Source organism: Homo sapiens, chromosome X (assembly GCF_000001405.40).
Source record: "Homo sapiens chromosome X, GRCh38.p14 Primary Assembly".
Classification (NCBI taxonomy): Eukaryota; Metazoa; Chordata; class Mammalia; order Primates; family Hominidae; genus Homo; species Homo sapiens.
This window is the reverse complement of record NC_000023.11, coordinates 124,412,004-124,431,028: the sequence shown is the minus strand read 5'-3', so window position 1 is coordinate 124,431,028 and position 19,025 is coordinate 124,412,004. Positions and strand designations below refer to the sequence as shown.

Genomic DNA, 19,025 nt, shown 5'->3' with positions numbered 1-19,025 from the left:
GAGGGGAGGAATCTAGTCTATCCTGACTGAAGCTGGCTCCTTAGTGCCTAGCATGGTACCTAACATGAGATAAATAGACATTTATTGACAGAAGAAAGGAAATCAATTAAGGTAGCATTTTCTGTAGCTGGAATTGTACCAAGAGTACTATTACAATTAACAGTGGGGAGTTCAAGTAATAAGCTAAAATATTAGCCATGAAATTGGCTGACAGATATATATGAGATAATATATCCCAATACCAGCCAAATATTTCTTGGAGGACATATAGCTTAGAAAGATTCTCAAGGAATGGCATAGATAAACAAGGAGGAAATGACTGGTGACATAGAATCAAGAGAAACCTTGAAAGCATGACTATATGATTAAACTTAAGAGTTTATGAACTAGCCAAGGAACAGAACAATAGACAGGGACCAGCACAAATACACACATGTTCCATAATTTTCAAAAATAGCTAGCCTCTACAAAGCTCTTTTAATGTACCAAGCACTGTGCTAGATGGTCTATGTATTTTTTCCTATCTAATTCCAATAATAATTTTTGAAAAGATAGTGTTACTATATTCAATTTGTAAATGAGGAAACAGAAGCTCAGATAGGTTAACTGATTCGTGCCAAGGTCACAGGGATAGCAAATGACACAGATGGAATTTTCAACTCCAGAAATCTTAACTCGTGAGCCTGAGGTCCTAACTACTTCCTTCTAGTGCATTGAAGCCTTTTTCTAGGGAGAGAGTACATAGCTTTCATCAGATTCTCAAATGGATGAGTAAATCAAAAAAGTATGAGAAGCAGTGTCCCAGACTCCAAGTTCCATGAAGGCAGGGACTATGTCTATCTGGATCAGGACCCAGATATCTGTCAGATGGTTGGATAAAAGGATATATTAAGGGATGAATGTACCAATGAATGGCTGTCCTCCAAATTGGTTATCCTGCATCTAGTCTGGTCTCCTTCCGGCCTGTCCCCCAAAATGCAGCCTAAGTAATCTTTCTAAAATACTAATCTGATCATGTCAGCTCTCCACTTTAAAGTGGAGACTCCTCAACACACACAGTTTAAGTCTAAAGCTATCAGCATATACCACTCTCCATGACTTAATGCGGTGATTCTCAGCAAGAGACATTTTTGCCCCTCAAGGGACATTTTGCAATGTCTGGAGGTATTTTCAGTTGCCACAACTGGGGGTAAGGTGCTACTGGCACCTAATGTGTAAAAGTCAGGGATGCTGCTGAACATCCTACAATGCACAGGACTGGCACCACCTGACAACAGAGCCTCAGTGGAGGAACCTGGACCTAGTCCTAGCAAACATTTAGAACTCATTCACCACTACCACCTACCTTATTTTATGCCTAAGAAATCCCAGACAGCAGTTAGTTCCTTCACTCTCATATGATTTCATGCTTCTGTACTTTTGTTCATTCTTTTCCCTCTGCCAAGATCACCCTTCCCGCCTTGCTTTTTCTCAATACCTTTGCTTCATCCTTCAAAATTAAGTTTACATTTCTCTTCTAGGAATCTTGCCCCAAACTCCCTCCATTGTGTTTCCATGTCATTCTGGGCATACATCTATCATGGCACTCATGACACTTAACCACATTATGTTAAATTATCTATTTCTGTATCTGCCTTGAACTAATCAAGAGCAGAAATCTGTTTGTTTACCTTTATAACATAGTGCCTGGCACGTGGTCAAAACTCATAAAGCATTGAACTGAAAGATAATAGATGACAAAGAAAAAGATAAATCACTCAACTCATAAAAAGTCTTGACCTTCACAGCCAAAGAGAGAAACCTTTAGGTTGATTCAAAAGGGGATAAGGGGAGGCCAGATTTGGTGAGACAAGAATGAAGAAACATGTCCAGTCTTGGGAATGACGAATCAGATGGCATAGGGGCTAAAAGCACATATCTGAGAGTGGAGATGTTAATAGTTTTTCTCAGGTAATTTTTATATTAAGTGGTAAACCATATGAAGTACCTGACACCCAGCAGGCATTCAGTAAACAGTAGTCACTTCTATTAATGGCTCAGATGACTGGGCCTGTAATTTCATGTGTTATTGATTACATAACAGTTCAAAGGAAGGGGCAGCACCTATTCACATTTTAGAAGTCAATTTAAAGCAAAATATTAAGTCAATAATAGTGCAGGTGATGTAGGGGTGAGGCAAAACTCATAAAGGTGGCACAGGGACAATTGAAGTCTGGGAAACACAGTTGAAAAGGAGCTACATTGAATGGTAACTGGGCCAGGTTCCTCCTAGCTCTAAAGGTCTATGACTATAAAAACTGTTATTACTATTAATACCACTTGCTATCCCTTACTATGTGCCAGGCACTGGGCTAAGCAACTTACACCATTATCTCATTTAATCCACACAATAACTTTACAAGTAGATATACTATCACTAGCCTCCTTGTTTTGTTACAGATGAGGAAACCAGAGACTCGTAGAATATACCTCATTTGCCAAGGGTTACATACTAATAAGGGTGGGAACCAGGACTCAAACTGTTGGAGGGAGCCCAAGTATACAAATGGTGGTTTGAGCATACAGTATGGGATTAGGCTTATACATAATTTAGACATTTTCCAGTTTAGTCTAACCAAGGGATTATATTTAGATATTGCTTTTAAACATGAATTTCTCCCTATAGGATTCTGCTGCTTTATAAATTGCTACTTAGGTCAAAATTAGCTGGATCTCTAAACCAATCATGGGACTGGTTGACCTGAGAGTCAACTCCCTTCAAGGCAAGTTTTCAATTAGCAGAGGAAGACGTAATGCTGTCAAAGGTTGACATCCTGACCAAGAGCTCCTTTATGCTCAGGGTTATTTCTCAGGGAAGGTTGTTGGGAGATAGGCACATTCCACCAGCTGGCGGCTACACAAGTGACCTTTAATGCTAGTTTAGCTTAAATGCATTTTGACATTTCAAACAAATTAATGTATTTTTACAAGGTGTGGCAACCACCACAAATGAGGCCAAATAGTTTGCCTGTAGGTTGGGTCACTAGGCAGAGTTTACAGAGCTTTGCTGCTGCTCTTCAATCTCTGTTCCCACCCCCCCAAAAAAGAAGTGTTTATTTACCCCAAGAAATCATTTGGACAAATGGTAGCAGCAATTGGGGGCCAACCTTAGCCCCACCTTAGTATCATATAATTCTAGGGTCTCTCTGCAACTAGTAGATACTAATTCTAACTGTCAGAATCAGCTCAAAGACTCCATTCCTTATATTAAGCTGTATGTTATGAAAATGTCTTGGTAGTAAATACAGTATTTCTGTTGTGTGAGCATAAGGCACCAGTTCCTTGAAAACTTACCTGGCAATAGGAGTATTTAACATGAGAAGGACATAAAAGGAACTGACAAGCTACGAGAGGTGAAGAGGTCCAGCTTCTGAAAAGGCAGACTCTCAACTACTAAGTAGCCACACATCTTTCATCTGTGGAGATTGCATAGACAAGCTGCCCGGCCAAATCAAATGGGAATTAAAGGGAATCTGTGTAGTTTGTATAGAAAATGGCTCAGAAGCAGAAAGGGCACTTTAGTCACAGGAAGATGCCGGAGGGTGACTTATTCCATGGAAAAGAAAACAAACAGACAAAATAGCTGGTGTATTTTTGAGGCAAAATTAAATATAATAAACATGACACCAATCGTATTGGTTTAAATCTGGTTGGGTGAGTTGGAGAATTTAACAGCTTATTTCCCAACTACCAGCCTTTATCTCAGAGGCAGCCTTGATAGCTAAAAACAGAATCTGAAACATGCTTCTTCTCTGGCTTCTGCCAGGTGTGTGCTGTCCCCAGCCTCTGCCCTGGCCTCGGCTCCCAGAGTGGGGATAATTAGAACGTCATTTCTGCCAGGTTTGTTTTTTCTGGGTCACTGACTTGAGACTCAATCAAAATGGGAGTGTTGTACGGAAATGAATTCATTTCCTCTTCCTCAGCCAGCCCCAGCTCATTTCCTGGGGGACTATGCTCCGTAGGACCAGTGCACACAGACAGCTTCTGGACAAGCATGATAGTGTATAGAGGTCCAAGGCAGGGGCACACAGTGGAGGAGTCAGCGCCCTCCAAAGCAGCAGGCGTTCACTCTCCCTCTCAGTGGCAGGGCACTGACATGCAAAGGCCTCAGACAGACGTGCTGAGGAACACATCACCGCAAACTGCTCTGGGAGCTGTTAAGGCTGGTGTTTAATGTTTATCCGATGGCCTCAGTCTGAAAGGCTCTGTAGAACATGCATAACACAAGCTCAGCTTTATACCCCATTAGCACTCAAATTCCTAGCTGCACAGAAGCATCTGGTACTGACCAGAGAAGGCCAGTCTATGTGGATAGAGGTGGAAGGCACACAGAAACATAGAAACAGAATGAGGCTGCTGGATGTATGGGAGAGACTCAGACATGGGCAAAGAGCCCCACATGGTGCAGTAGAGGAGGTCAAAGACAACCTTTGTCCTCTTCACAATATCACCAGTTGCCCTCCCTAATGAGACACAATTAGAAGAAAGGCCTTATCTCAAATTGACCTTTATCCACTTCATTACTGATTGCTTGTAAGCCTCTTTGAGCTGGGGAAGTAGTAGGCCGCAGAATGCAATGACAGCTCATACCTTGTTTTCAGACTTTCAGATTCCACAAGAAAAACAAAGCCTTCTGTGGGCTTTCACTCAAAGCAAAAAAGAAAAGTGGCTACATTACTGTTACTATTTTGGCCATGAATGGGACTTTTTTTCTGCCTTTAGCCTAAAAGAAAAGAAATAGAGAACAAGTGAGTGGTAGGGTGGGGAATGGTGTGGAACACAGTTCCCTGAGAAACACCTAGGGATAAATAGTTACTGTCAAGGAGATGTCAGGGTAGGCATTGAATCAACTCCTGTGTCTAGAAAGGAACTAAGGTGAAGCCATGTTTGGCTAGCCTGCATGTCTCCAGTGCCTAGCACATCTCTTGGCACAAGGCACACCAAACACACACACACACACACACACACACACACACACACACACACACACACACCAGTCCTTTTGCTTCCAACTCTTTAACATGTCTCAAATCCATCTGCTTTTCTCCATACCCATTGTTGCCATCCCAGTTCAGGCACCATAATCCCTAACTTGGGCCCGTGCAGGAGCCCCCTAAATGCCTGCCTCCCTCCTATCTCGCCTCCTTCTCTAATATGGTCTGGACAGCAGCCAGGATGATCTGTCTAGAACCCAAATATGACTATCTCACACCCCTACTTAAAGCCCTTCAGTGGCTTCCCACAGCCATCAAAACAAAACTGGACATGTGCTTCCCTCTATTACCCAATGTTTTAGTCTGTTTTTTGTTGCTATAACAGAATATCACAGACTGGGTAATTTATGAAGAAAAACATTTATTTAGCTCTTGGTTCTGAAGGCTGGGAAGTCCAAGAGCATGGCACTGGCAGCTGGTGAGGGCATTTTTGCTGCATCATAACATGGTGGAATGGCATCATATGGCAAGAGGACAAAAACATGCCAGCTCAAGTCTGTCTTCCTCTTCTTATAAAGCCACCAGTCCCATCATGGGGACCCCACCCTTATGACCTTATCTAATCCTAATTATCTTTCAAACAGAGAAATGCAAATCAAAACCACAATGAGATATCATCTCACCCCAGTTGGAATGGCTGTTATCAGAATGACAAAAAAAAATGCTGGTGAGTTGCAGAGAAAGGAAAATGTAAATTAGTACAGCCATTATGGAAAACAATATGGAGTTTCCTCAAAAAATTAAAAATAGAACTGTTATGATTCAGAAAAGTAAAGGAAATCAGTATGTCAAAGAGATAGCTGCACTATTTGCAACAGCTAAGACATGAACTCAACCTAAGTGTCTATCGACAGATGAATGGATAAAGAAAATGTGGTACATATACACTGTGGAGTACTACTTAGCAACAAAAAAGAACAAAATTCTGTCATTTGTGGCAACATAAATGAGCTTGGAGGACACCGTATTAATCCATTCTTACACTGCTATAAAGAAATACCTGAGACTGGGTAATTTATAAAGAAAAGAGGTTTCATTGGCTCACGGTTTCACAGGCTGTACAAGAAGCATGATTCTGGCATCTGCTTGGCTTTTAGGGAGGCCTCAGGAAACTTACAGTCATAGCCAAGGTGAAGGGGAGCTGGCACCTCACATGGCCAGAGCAGGAGGAAGAGAGAGAGAAGGGGAAGGTGCTACACACTTTTAAACAACCCCGTCTCATGAGAACTCACTATACAGTACCAAGGGGGGACAGTACTAAATCAGTCATAAGAACTTCACCCCCATGATCCAGTCACTTTCCACCAGGACCCACTTCCAACACTGGGGATTACAATTGAACATGATATTTGGGCAGGAACACAGATCCAAACCATATCAGACACTACGTTAAGTGAAATAAGCCAGGCACAGAAAGATAAATACCCCATGTTCTCACTCATATATGGAAGCTAAAAAGGTTGACCTCATAAAAGCAGAAAGTAGAATAGTGGTTACTAGAGGTTGGGAAGGTGGACAGGGATAGCCAGAGGTTGCTTAATGGATATAAAACTACCACTAAGTAGGAAGACTAAGTTCTAGTGTTCTAGAGCATTATAGAGTGACTATAATAAACAACAATTTGTTATATATTTTCAAATAGCTGCAAGAGTGGATTTTAAACGTTCTTAACACAAAGAAATGATAAATGCTTGAGGTGATGGATATGGCCCCACCTCCAAATGCCATCAGCATATGAATTTGAGGATTAAGTTTCCAACACATGATATTTGGGGGACACATTCAAACCAGAGCACCTGATATATTAGTCTGCTAGGGCAGCCATACAAAATACTATAGACTGAATGGCTTAAACAACAGAAATGTATTTTCTCATACTTCTGGAGGCTAGAAATCTAAGATCAAGGTGTTGGTGAGTTTAGTTTCTTCTGAGGTGTCTCTCTTTGGCTTGCAGGTGGCTGCTTTCTAGCTGTGTCCTCATATAGTCATCCCTCTGTGCGTAAGCATTCCTGGTATCTCTTCCTCTTATTGGAGAGACATCAGTCCTGTTGGATTAGATCCCCACCCTTATGATCTCATGTAATCTAAACTACCTCTTTGAAGGCCCTGTCTACAAATACAGTCACACTGGGGGTTAGGGCTTCAACATATGAAGTTGGGGAGGACACAATTTAGTCCATAACACCTGGCCTCATCCCTCAGGTCTCCCTCACACCCAGCCTATTATTAGTCTTACTGAATTAGTTTTAGTAACCTGGATGGGCCATGCTGTCTTTAACCTCTGGACTTTCACCCATGCTTTTCCTAGTACCCAGATTTTCCTCAACTCTGATGCCCCTCCCCCCTCAACTTCCACCCAATTCTTCTCCTACTGTTCATTTCAGACCTTACTTAGGTACCACCTGCTCTGGGAATATCTTGCCTCCTGACTCCTAGTCCAGGTGAAGTGCTATCTTATCCCCTCTGTTGCCTTCTTTTCATAACGTGGAGAGTAATTGTCTAATGGTTCCTCTGAGGGCTCTACTATACCACAAATCATTTGAGGACAGAGGCCGTGTCGTAGTCATTTTTGAGCCCCCAAAGCTTAGCACAAGGCTTAACCCAGAGAAAGGTACTCAGCGAATACTCAGTGAAAGAAAAAAACAACCTGTTTCTTTGCTAAAAAGGGGAACCTATGGAGTGAACCAGGTCAAGCTAAGTAAGCAGTGTGCTACACCCCAGGATTCTAAATCAACAGCTGACGAACTGTACCTGAGTGTTCCACAAAGTGGATGCTAGGTCTATGCTAATAGCAGGTCCTGTTGCAAAAGGTTGCTCATTGAGTAAAATCTGGCTTCTCTGGCATTCTGTCACCCAGAAACCTGTATGACTTTGCTCTCCTATACGTCTACAGGACAGTGAGAGAGATTTGAGTATCATAGCTACCGGAATTCCTACAGCAATGATCCCCAGAATCACCTTGGCAAAACACAGATGTTTGGGTCCCCACCTCCAGGGTTTCTGATTCAATAGATCTAGGGTGGGACCTGAGAATTTGCATTTCTCACAAGTTCCCAGATAATACTGTTGCTGCTGATCCAGAGAACACACTTTGAAAACCTCTACTCTAAATGATCCTTCTGAAATTATTGGAAAAAATTACATTATATTGTAAATGGCATAAATGATAAGTACGTTTACCAGAACATGTGATTAACCATCCTCCCCCTGCCCTCCACTTTCCGAGACATCACCAATGTTGCTAAAATTCATAAGACGGGGGAAACAATACACCAATTTTTTTTTCTTTTTTTCAAGTTAAAACTGTCCATGGAAAGACATGGTAACCTAATGGTATGTGTTCTGTTCGTTTCACAGGTGCGATTAGAGTGGCCAACAGACCTTGCAGTAAATCCTATGGACAATTCATTGTATGTCTTGGATAACAACATTGTGCTGCAAATTTCTGAGAACAGGCGTGTTCGGATCATCGCAGGACGCCCCATTCACTGCCAGGTGCCAGGCATCGATCATTTCCTGGTCAGCAAGGTAGCAATTCACTCCACTCTAGAGTCAGCGAGGGCCATCAGTGTCTCCCACAGCGGGCTGCTCTTCATAGCTGAAACAGACGAGAGGAAAGTAAACCGCATTCAGCAAGTAACCACCAATGGGGAGATCTACATCATCGCTGGTGCCCCCACTGACTGTGACTGCAAAATTGATCCAAACTGTGACTGTTTTTCAGGTATGACCTTTTTAGCAATTCACCAGCTTCCCCTCTCTGTTTTGAAAAGAAAAACGTGCCCCAGTAAAGTCAAAAGGAAAAGGAAAAGCAAAGTGTTACTTGCAAACATTGGTATGAGCTAGTGGAGAAAGCGATGGATTAGGAGTCAGATCACCGACTTGTTCTCACAACTGACTCACTGAGTGACCCTAGCAAAGCTGCAAGATCTCTTCATGACTCATTTGCTTCATTTGTTTAATAAAGATGGCATTGTCTCAGTTATATCACCTTGCTATTCTGAGGATAAACTAGTGTAATAAAAATGTTTAGACTCTTAAAAAGTTGAGACCACTATACAAATGAAAGATCATGATATTATTAAATATTTGTACTTTAGAGAAAGGAAAACTAGGTAAAACCCACATTTACTGGTTTAGCTGAGGAAAAAATTACTTCCCCATAAGTGGTTGGTTTTCAGATTAAAAGCATGTGCTATTTGAGACTCAAAGGGACTAAGAACAGACTGTCTTTGGGATAGATGAGCAAAATTAAATCTGGCAATGGAGAGTTCTCAGGACATTGGTCTGCTAGATACATTGCTTTTTAAAAAGCTAAGACTTTCTCAATAACCCATAGTGAAGTTTTCTTCTAATCGAAATTGGAAAAAAAAAAAAAAAAGAGCCTTCTCCCCAAAACATGTAGTGGATATCTCAGATGGCAAACGGTCCTCTTAATGTCAACAGATACAATTATTGCTGGGATGTGGAAATCCCTCCATACTACACGCAGTGCTATTAAACTGTTCATCCAGGCCCGAATGGTTCTCTTAACCTTTGCCTTTCCTTAGGCCAGAGGAGTCAGGAGTGAGCAATTTGGTCAATATGACTTTTGATCAATATTTCCAATGTTTTCTTCGACAATTAGTTTTATAGATATTTTGCTAATTTGTATCTTTCGGTCAAAGCAAATCTAATGTTTATTCCAGGTATCAAATTTGATGTTCTGAATCATTGTTGTACTTATAGACTTAGTGTACTTTGACAGTGTGACAATGGGAATTAACAGAAGAAAGGGCATCTAGGCACAGTAGGACTGGAAAGTCCTGAAACAGATCCTGAAAGCATTGACAGGCATAACTCTCAGATTTCCAGCCAAATTTTGTGTGGCTATCATTATTTGCAGTTCTTGTTTCTTATAATACAATAGATTCTGAACAGCAGGATTGAGGATTTCACAAAATTGGTATAACTGAGATAATTAGATCTTACTGTTCATCTGCAGTGGTACTGACTCAAGAATTACAATCTTTTGAATAATAGGCTTCATATTTTTCAGGGAGGGAATACAGAGAATGTTGGTTCACTGATTGTTTCCTTTAAAATGATTCTTGATGCACAGAGCTTTATGTCTGTGGTATGTTCATGTAAATGCTTATGATGCCAATTGTTAAAATCAAGTCTTTCTCCCACAGGTGATGGTGGCTATGCCAAAGATGCAAAGATGAAAGCCCCTTCCTCCTTAGCAGTGTCGCCTGATGGAACCCTCTATGTGGCAGACCTCGGAAATGTTCGAATTCGTACCATCAGCAGGAACCAAGCCCACCTGAATGACATGAACATTTATGAGATTGCTTCACCCGCTGATCAGGAACTGTACCAGTTCACTGTAAATGGAACCCACCTACACACCCTGAACTTGATAACAAGGGACTATGTTTATAACTTCACCTACAATTCTGAAGGTGACTTGGGCGCGATTACCAGCAGCAATGGCAATTCAGTGCACATTCGCCGTGATGCAGGCGGAATGCCGCTATGGCTTGTGGTGCCTGGCGGACAAGTATACTGGCTGACTATAAGCAGCAATGGAGTCCTGAAAAGAGTGTCAGCCCAAGGCTATAATCTGGCCTTAATGACCTATCCAGGAAACACAGGGCTTCTGGCTACCAAAAGTAACGAAAATGGATGGACAACCGTTTATGAGTAAGTTTCTAATTCTTGACATGGGCTTTGTTAGGTTTTTATTTGAAATTGTATTATACTGGGAAAATGCCTTAGTAATTGCTGAGTGTTGCATGCTGTTTTCTCCTAACAACCACCATTTTAAAAAATGAAAAGTCAAGGAGAAAATTTTACCTAATTCCTAGAGTTCAGACCCATTTTTCCAGAGCAGTTTGCAGAGCATAATAATAAAAACAGACTGCATCAAGGAAGACTCAAGTGTGGCACTGCAGGAGACAGGAATGAGGTAGAAGTACAAGTACTCAAGAAATTTACAACATCCCTGGGAAGATAAGGTACAATTTCATTTAAATAACAAAACTGTAGTTCTAAAGCAGCAAAGAAGCAGTGTGACTTAACAACTATTTATTGAGCCCTGTGGGGTTTAATGAATGAATAAATGAATGTATGCCCAGCCCAGCCCAGCTCAGTATAAGTTGCTGTGGGAGGTAAGAGAGAAGTTCAAATATAAGAAGTGGACCCTGGAAAGCAAGAGAAGAATTATGTGGGGCAAATGCTGAATAGGAGAGGCTCCATTCCATTGGCTGCTTCTGTAAAAGGAAGAGCCAAATGCTCTGTACGGGATTGGGCTTCCTCAGGGTCCCTGCACAAGTTGAATAATCCAGCACATTTTGGCATTTATAGACTGGAACTGTGATAACTTTGTTTAATGGGGAACTAACACAAAATGTGTCTGACAGCAAGCTACTAGGAGGTGCCGTAACACAGAAATAGAGACCATTGTCCTTGCCTTTTAAGGCATGGATGACCTTGTTTGCAAGTAAGCCCATCTAGAAAGCTGGTCTTTTGGCACTCGGGAAGCATTTTCCCCACAAAAGGAATTGCTGAGTTTTTTACCAGTATACTGAGTGAGCTAATCCATGGAATCTGAATTCAGAGTCTGGAATGGCATCAAAGTTGAAGAATGTGAGAAGTGGAGATGTTAAAGTATAAGGGGTTCCAAGTGTGACTATTTTGGGAGGATATAGAGAATATGTCCAGTCCCATGAAAGCCTCTTGAAGAAAGGGACAAAACAATTGGCCTTCAAGTTTTGGATCATTTTCCAAAGAAATGCCATCTGTACAAAAGAGCCAGACAGCTATTTTGGTTTCACTTAGAAAAATGTATTCAGTTGTTTCAGTTGCAAGTCTTCCTCTGTTTTTTGAAAGTAATTCTCTTCCATCTTAATAAGAGTAATAAAAGCTACGGTTAGCTAAAGATTTACTAAGTGCCAGGTACTGGGCTAGGTAATTTACATATGTGACTTTATTTGATCCCCATAATAACATGGGATAGGTGCCCCTAAGTATGCCCACTTTATGGATGAGAAAACTGAAGGACAAAATAGTTAACTTGTCCTGATTCACATAAATACCCAGGATTCAACCAGCAAGAGCCTGTGTTTTTAAATATACTACCCTTAGAAAAGATAAAATTTCTAATGAGAAGTTTTAATGTCTTTTTTAAAAACTCAAGCCGGATCACACTGCAGCTGAAATTAGGCAAACAACTATTTTGAAAGCTAATGGTGGAATTCAGTCCCCCAGCAAGAGATGGCTGAAGTATTAACTAGTTTTCAAAAGAACCAGTTCAACCATTCATGTATTTATTCAACAAACACATGAGCACCTACTACATACCATACAATGTTCTAGGCGCTGGGGATATAGCTATGAATAAAACAGATAAAAATCCCTACTTTTATGGAACTTATATTGTACTGGAGGAAGATGAGGAAGATGTATACAATTTCAAATGGTGATAAGTTCTATGGAGAAAAATCTAGTAAAGTAAGGGAGATCAAGTGGGTGGAGCAGAAGAGGTTTTTATTTCAGATTGGGTGGACAGGAAAGGCCTCACCAAGAAAGAAGGTGACTTTTGCATAAAGATCTGTAGGAGGTAAGAGTAAGCCATATGAATATCTGGGGGGTGGGGGGTGGTATGAGGGGTATTCCAGGCAAAGGGAAGAGCAAGTATAAATGCCCTGCAGCAGGAGTAAGCCTGACACATTCAAGGAAGAGTAAGGCAGCCATTGTGATGGAAGTGGAATGAGTAAGGTTAATGAGGACATGAAATCAATTAAGTAACCAGAACTACTTCATGTAGGGCCTTGTAGGCCACTGTAAAGACTTTGAATTTTACTCTAAGAAGTGGAGCCACTGGAGAGTTTTGAGTAAAGAAGTGATATAAGCCAACTTTCATTTTTTAAAAAATCACACTGTATTACAAATGGACTGTGTAGTGGAAACAGGGGAACCTAACTGGGAAGCAGGAGGAACTATTGCAATAATGCAGGCAAAAGATGATGACTTGGACCAGGGAGTTGGGCCAGTAAGAGGTGCTAAAATTCTGAATACATTTTGACAGTAGAGCTATCAGGACTTATAGAGAGATTGAGTATTGAGTGTGGGAGAAAGAGGGGTCAGAGATACCTTCAAAGGTTTTGGCCTGAGCAACTGGTTTTCATTTACCAAGAGGGGAAGACTATACAAGGAACATATTATACTGGAAGGTTGTGAGGTGGGAGATTGGGAATTCAGTTTTGGATATGATCAATTTAGTTAGGCATCTAAGTGAAAATATCAGGTAGACAATTGGATATATGAGTCTAGAATTGAGGGGAGAGGGTGGAGAGTGAAATTTGAGATGTACTGGTGTTTAGATTGTATTTAAAACCATGAGATGGGATGAGATCTCTCCATGAAAGTGAGTGTAGACAATGAAGAAAAGAGATCTGAAGACTGACCATGAAGCACTCCATGTTTAAAATTGAAGATATGGGCCAGGCACAGTGGCTCACACCAGTAATCCCTGCACTTTGGGAGGCCAAGGCGGGTGGATCACCTGAGGTCAGGAGTTCAAGACTAACCTGGCCAACATGATGAAACCCCGTCTCTACTAAAAATACAAACAATTAGCTGGGTGTGGTGGCGGGTACCTGTAATCCGAGCTACTTGGGAGGCCTGAGGCAGGAGAATCACTTGAACCCGGGAGGTGGAGGTTGCAGTGAGCTGAGATGGCGCCACTGCACTCCAGCCTGGGCAACAAGAGCGAAACTCTGTTTCAAAAAAAAAGAAAGAGAAGAAAAGAGTTGAGGGTATGAAGAGGAACCAGCAAAAGACACTGAGAAGGAAAGGCCAGTGAAGTGGAAAGAAAACTAGGAGAGTGGAATGTCCTGGAAGCCAACTGTGTTAATCTGTTTGTGCTGCTATAACAAAATACCTTTTACTGGGTAATTAATCAAGAACAAATTTATTTTTCACAGTTCTGGAGGTTGGGAAGTTCAAGGTCAAGATGCCAGCAGAGTCAGTGTCTGGTGAGGGCTACTCTCTGCTTCCAAAATGGCACTGCCTGCTGAGTCCTTATATGACAGAAGGGGGACAGTGAAAAGGGACCTAGCTGGCTCTCTCCAGCTCTTTTGTAAGATTGCTAATTGCATTCATGAAGGCAGAGACAACATGACCTAATCACCTCCTAAAGGCCTCACCTGTTAGTACTATCACATCGGCAGTTCAGTCTCAATATTTGAATTTAGGGGGACAAATTCAGACCATAGCACCAAATAAAACAGGTGATTCCAGGAGGAAAGAGTGAGCCACTGTGCCAAATACTCCTGATAAGTAAGATGAGGACTTAGAATTGACCACTTGATTTAGCACTGTGAAGAGCAGGCGCTGTGACACATGAGGGACCAAAGCCTGAGTAGAATATTCTCTTAAGAGAGAATGGATACACAAATTTTCATAGCAACATTATTTATAATAGCTGAGAAATATAAACAACTCAAATGCCTATCAAGTGGTGAGAAGACAAACAAAATGTGATATATCCATGTCATGAAATAGTGTTCAGCCATAAAAAGAAATGAAGTTCTGATACATACTACAATGTGGATGAACCTCAAAAACATTATGCTCAGTGAAAGAATCTAGAAACAAAGGACCCTTCTGATTCCATTTATATGAGATGTCTAGAAGAGGCAAATCCATAAAGACAGAAAATAGATTTGTAGTTGCCAAGAGCTGGGGAGAAGAATGAATGGGGAGTGACGGTTAATTCATATGGGGTTTATCTTGGGGGTGATAGAAATGTTCTAGAAGTGGTGGTGATGGTTGCACAACATTGCAAATGTACTGTAAGTCACTGGATTGTACAATTTAGAATGGTGATTTTTATGGTGTGAGAATTATATCTCAATAATAATAATATAGAATGACTAGGAGGAGAGAGACTGAGACAGTGAGTAAAGAACTCTTTTGAGGAGTTTTGCTGTAAAGAGCAGAGAAATTAGAGCTGGAGGAGAAACAGAGTAAACAGAAGAGTTTTTTAAGTGAGAGAAATAACAGCATATTTGTATACTGATAAAAATGATCTAATATAGAGGGGAAAATTGATGATGCTGAAGAGAGAAGATAATTTTGTTGTCATATCAATTTGTGTGCCTGTTTTCCACTGGCATCACATTGATGCAGGCACTGTGTGGTAGGCAAGATTCTCACGGTGAATGGGGTCCAGGCCTGTTACCAGAATTTGGCCAACAGTGAGTGAAAAGGTATCAACTAACATCATTGGTGAGTAACCAATCTCGAGCCACTAAGCTATGAGAAACACAGACATCCACATGGGGGTAGTCATGAAATTTTATGGCCACAAAGAGACATTAGATGTCATTTTACAAATGAAGAAACCGAAACCCAGAATAGGGAAGTAACGTGCCCATTCACATGCTAGTTGGCTTATCCAGAGTCAGGATAACAGAAAACAGAGGATCATGTGGGCTTACGAGAGTGACCATACAAAATCTAGAGAGCTAGAAAGTTTCCCCTCAAGTAGCAGTAAAAGAGGAATAGGTAGCACCAGGAGATGAAAAGGGAGGCTGAATAACCATTTGTTCTTTCTCCCACCTTCTTAACTCCAGCCAGAATTATACTGAAACCCTCTTGGTCAAATAGCATCTGTTGAAAGGAGAAGGTACCTCTTCTCCTGAAGCAGTCTATTCTGGTGCTGAACAGCAGTCTTTAACAAAACACAGCTCCTGTCCCTTCTTGCCTGTAAACAGAAATGAGCAACTTTCCAACCTTCATAATGTGACTAATTCCTCCTACAGTCTTTATACAATATCTGACTTTTTTCACTTTTGTCCTCTAGTCCTTTGGCTAGTTCTGAGCACTCCTTCAAGTTTTCTCTTGTCCTTCTGAAGTTGGAGAACACAGCATTTGACCTACTCTTCTAGTCAGGGTCAGAGCAGTGCTAAGGTCGGTAGAAGGCTGCTATACCACTGATACCAGGCCCTCCTAAAAGAACTCGAGTAATTCCCCGAGGTAAAAGGGAGGCTTCTTTATGTGGACAAGGGGACAAATTGTTTGCACAGGTGGAAGTATAAGTTCTGCTCTGAGAGGAGCATGAGAGAAACAGAAACAGAAGTGAAATTTGGCAGGATGGAAGACTGCAGTGTAAAGGTAGGCCAGTCACTAATCCATTCAACTTTCTATTATCTGCAGCTATCAGGAGGAAAAATGACATAGATGACCCTGAACAGTGGATAATCCAAATGGGATTTTAAAATGCATCTTGTGTAGTGGTAGTGCCTGGGCTTTTATTAGGTAGTGTGATGTTGTTTACATAGTTCACTAATTTTCATAATTCCATTTGACTTGGACCAGGATCAAAATTGCACACCCCAAGTGTTAGTATTTGATGCACCATTGCCCATGAGTGTCCCAAGTGTCAGGGGGAAAAGCTGACCACAGAGAAACAGCTAACAAGGAAGTGATTGTCAAGGCACGAATACTGGCCTGAGGCGGCACAGGTGGGCTCCTAATTGTAATAACCCCGCAGCAGCTGAGATCTGAGGGAGGGGCCTAGCAACTCGCACAGCAGACAAGCCTTTCTCCACAAGGCTGCAAAAGTAGCCAGGATGCCCTTGCTTGTTTCCCTGGCAAAGGCTTCTGCTCTACTAAACTGAAAAGGTCCCAGACTAAGGCCAAAGCATCAGTCGTGTCACTGCTGCTGGTCCATTCTGAGTTGACGGTTCGTCAGGCCCCTTGCCCTTTGTGGGAAGCCCTCCCACTTGAAGGAGACTCTCCGTTTACATGATCTCTTGATCCTTCGTCTTCTGCATTCTCTGTTTTCAGACTTTATTAACACATCCTCTCCTCCCATCAAGAAAACAAAAAACAAACAAACAAACAAACAAAAACACCACCCACTGACAGGTTGGAGAAGCCTTCATAATATCTCTGGGTATCTTCTAGACTGTTTTACAAATGCCCAGTTTTATCATGGATGGCTAATGACAGATTCCCCCTTCTCCCTTATAAGATCAGAAGGGGTAGGGGGCAAGATAAACAAGCCATGTCTCTGGGTGAGATATTTGCCTGGGGATAGGATGCGATTCCCATGCAGAAATGCTTATGTAATAATCAGTCATTCTAAACACATGTGACGTTTCCAATGCCTTCTAGAATCCCAGAGTAGAAAAGGAACTAAGGCATTGTATGGTTCAGGCACATGCCTCCAGGCAGGTGAATGATTTCAATTAAACAAGAACATAGAAATGTTGGCTGTTCCTTCAGATCTTTAGAAATAGAGAGTTGACACCCTTGCTCAGTCACCTCTCCTTGTGCTTTATGCCCTTGATAAGGATCAAGAGTGAGTAAAACAGAATTATCGTCGGTATTTCTGGGAAGAACTGAAATAAAGACAGAGTGAACAGAAGTAACAGAAGCTGGTAGGGAAGTTCCGCTGAACTCCATAGCACATCTATGTAACCTGAGTGTGCCCTCCCAGAAGCACTATCGATGGTTCTGTCTGTTCTGTAACCACATTGGCTCTCATATCCACCCCCATCCTTTTTTTCACTGGCAGCATCCTATTTATACTCATTCAACAAGTACATGGAGTGAGATCTACTCTGTTCCAGACACGGAGAATATAAAAATGAATGAGACACTGTGTCCTCCCTCTAAAGATGTGAGAGTTGTACAGTCTAGTGGGGAAGACAAATCTGAATGATAGGCAATCACAATATATTTAACGAAGGCAACAGACCACCATCTTCTCATATATGAACTGGGTCTGCAGCCTCCTAACAGTTCTCCCTGCTCCTTGCCTCCCCTTCCAAGACTCATTGCCACCAAAACACTGTTTGGATCATCCTTTTATCCCCTTGAAAAACTGTCTATGCTTCTTTATTGTATAAGCCTTATCTCTCACTACCCTCCTAGAGGAACCCTGTGCTCCAGCAATGCTGGTCCCCCAGTAGACATCCCATCAGTCAGCGTGCCTTTCTTCATACCTCCATTTGGAATGCCTTCCTCCCCTTCCCAATCTCTACCTACCTTCTAGGATTCAAACACCACCTGCTTCTGCTCTTCCTCCTCCTATTCTGCTCAGCCCAGCTGGAAATGACCTTTGCCTCTTCTGAGATTCTAGTTTCTTCTTTACAGAAATTCATGGCAATATTCTGGCATTAGAGTTATTTGTGTGCATATCTTATCTGCCCCACTAGACTGTGAATTTCATTCAGCACTGTATCCCTGGTCCCTAGCACAAGACTCTGATATTTATTGAATGAAGGACAAATGAAGATAGAAGGACATTATGGACTTGGAACTGAATCATAGGAAGCCAAAGGAATTTATTAGTGAGGAAAGGGGAATCCCATATTTCCTAAAGAATTCTTATTAGGTTGGTCAGCTTTCTGACATGAAAGTGTAAAGAGGGTCTGACTCTTTCATATTTCCTTTAAAAGAGTAAGTAATGAATTTCTCTTCTATTATCTGCAATTTTTTTTTAAAGCAAAGGTGTGGGAGCCTCTAGTTTTATCTTGAACAGTTTAACTCTGGCTTAAATTGTCCTCAGAGGAAAGGGCAAGCTATCCCTTATGAGAAAATACCAGGCCAAATATATTTTTAATCATGTGTAAATATCATCTCTCCAACTAAACTATATGCTTCTCAAGGACAAGAATGGATTCTGAATTTTCTTTACAAATGTTTCCTTTGCTCTACTGGGGTGCACATGTGTGCACATGCACACACACACTCACTCAAGTGCACATGCACACAGCCTATGACAGTGCTGAGGAAAAGGGTGAGTGTACTCATTACTTAACTGTCTGGTACCCTCTGAGACCATCACAGTGGAACTCTGTAAAATCAGGACAGCAAGGGACAATTTGATAACAAATCTCCTCTTACCAAATCCACTTCTGATGGCTATGAAGGCAACTGTCATTTCCTGATGGCACAATTCAGCAGCTATAATTTGCAGCCTGGTTAGGTGAG

General features: G+C 41.5%; 1 protein-coding gene across 15 annotated transcripts in view; it reads left to right on the top strand.

Annotated features, from left to right (window-relative positions):
- TENM1 (teneurin transmembrane protein 1) overlaps nucleotides 1-19,025 on the top strand; it is an 828,410-nt gene that overhangs the window by 773,284 nt on the left and 36,101 nt on the right. For all 15 annotated transcript variants that reach the window (XM_017029210.3, XM_017029211.3, XM_047441760.1 and 12 more), the window contains 2 exons: nucleotides 8,391-8,757; nucleotides 10,208-10,718. In XM_017029210.3, coding sequence (XP_016884699.1) covers nucleotides 8,391-8,757; nucleotides 10,208-10,718 — 878 coding nt within the window. The remainder of the gene's footprint in view (nucleotides 1-8,390; nucleotides 8,758-10,207; nucleotides 10,719-19,025) is intronic.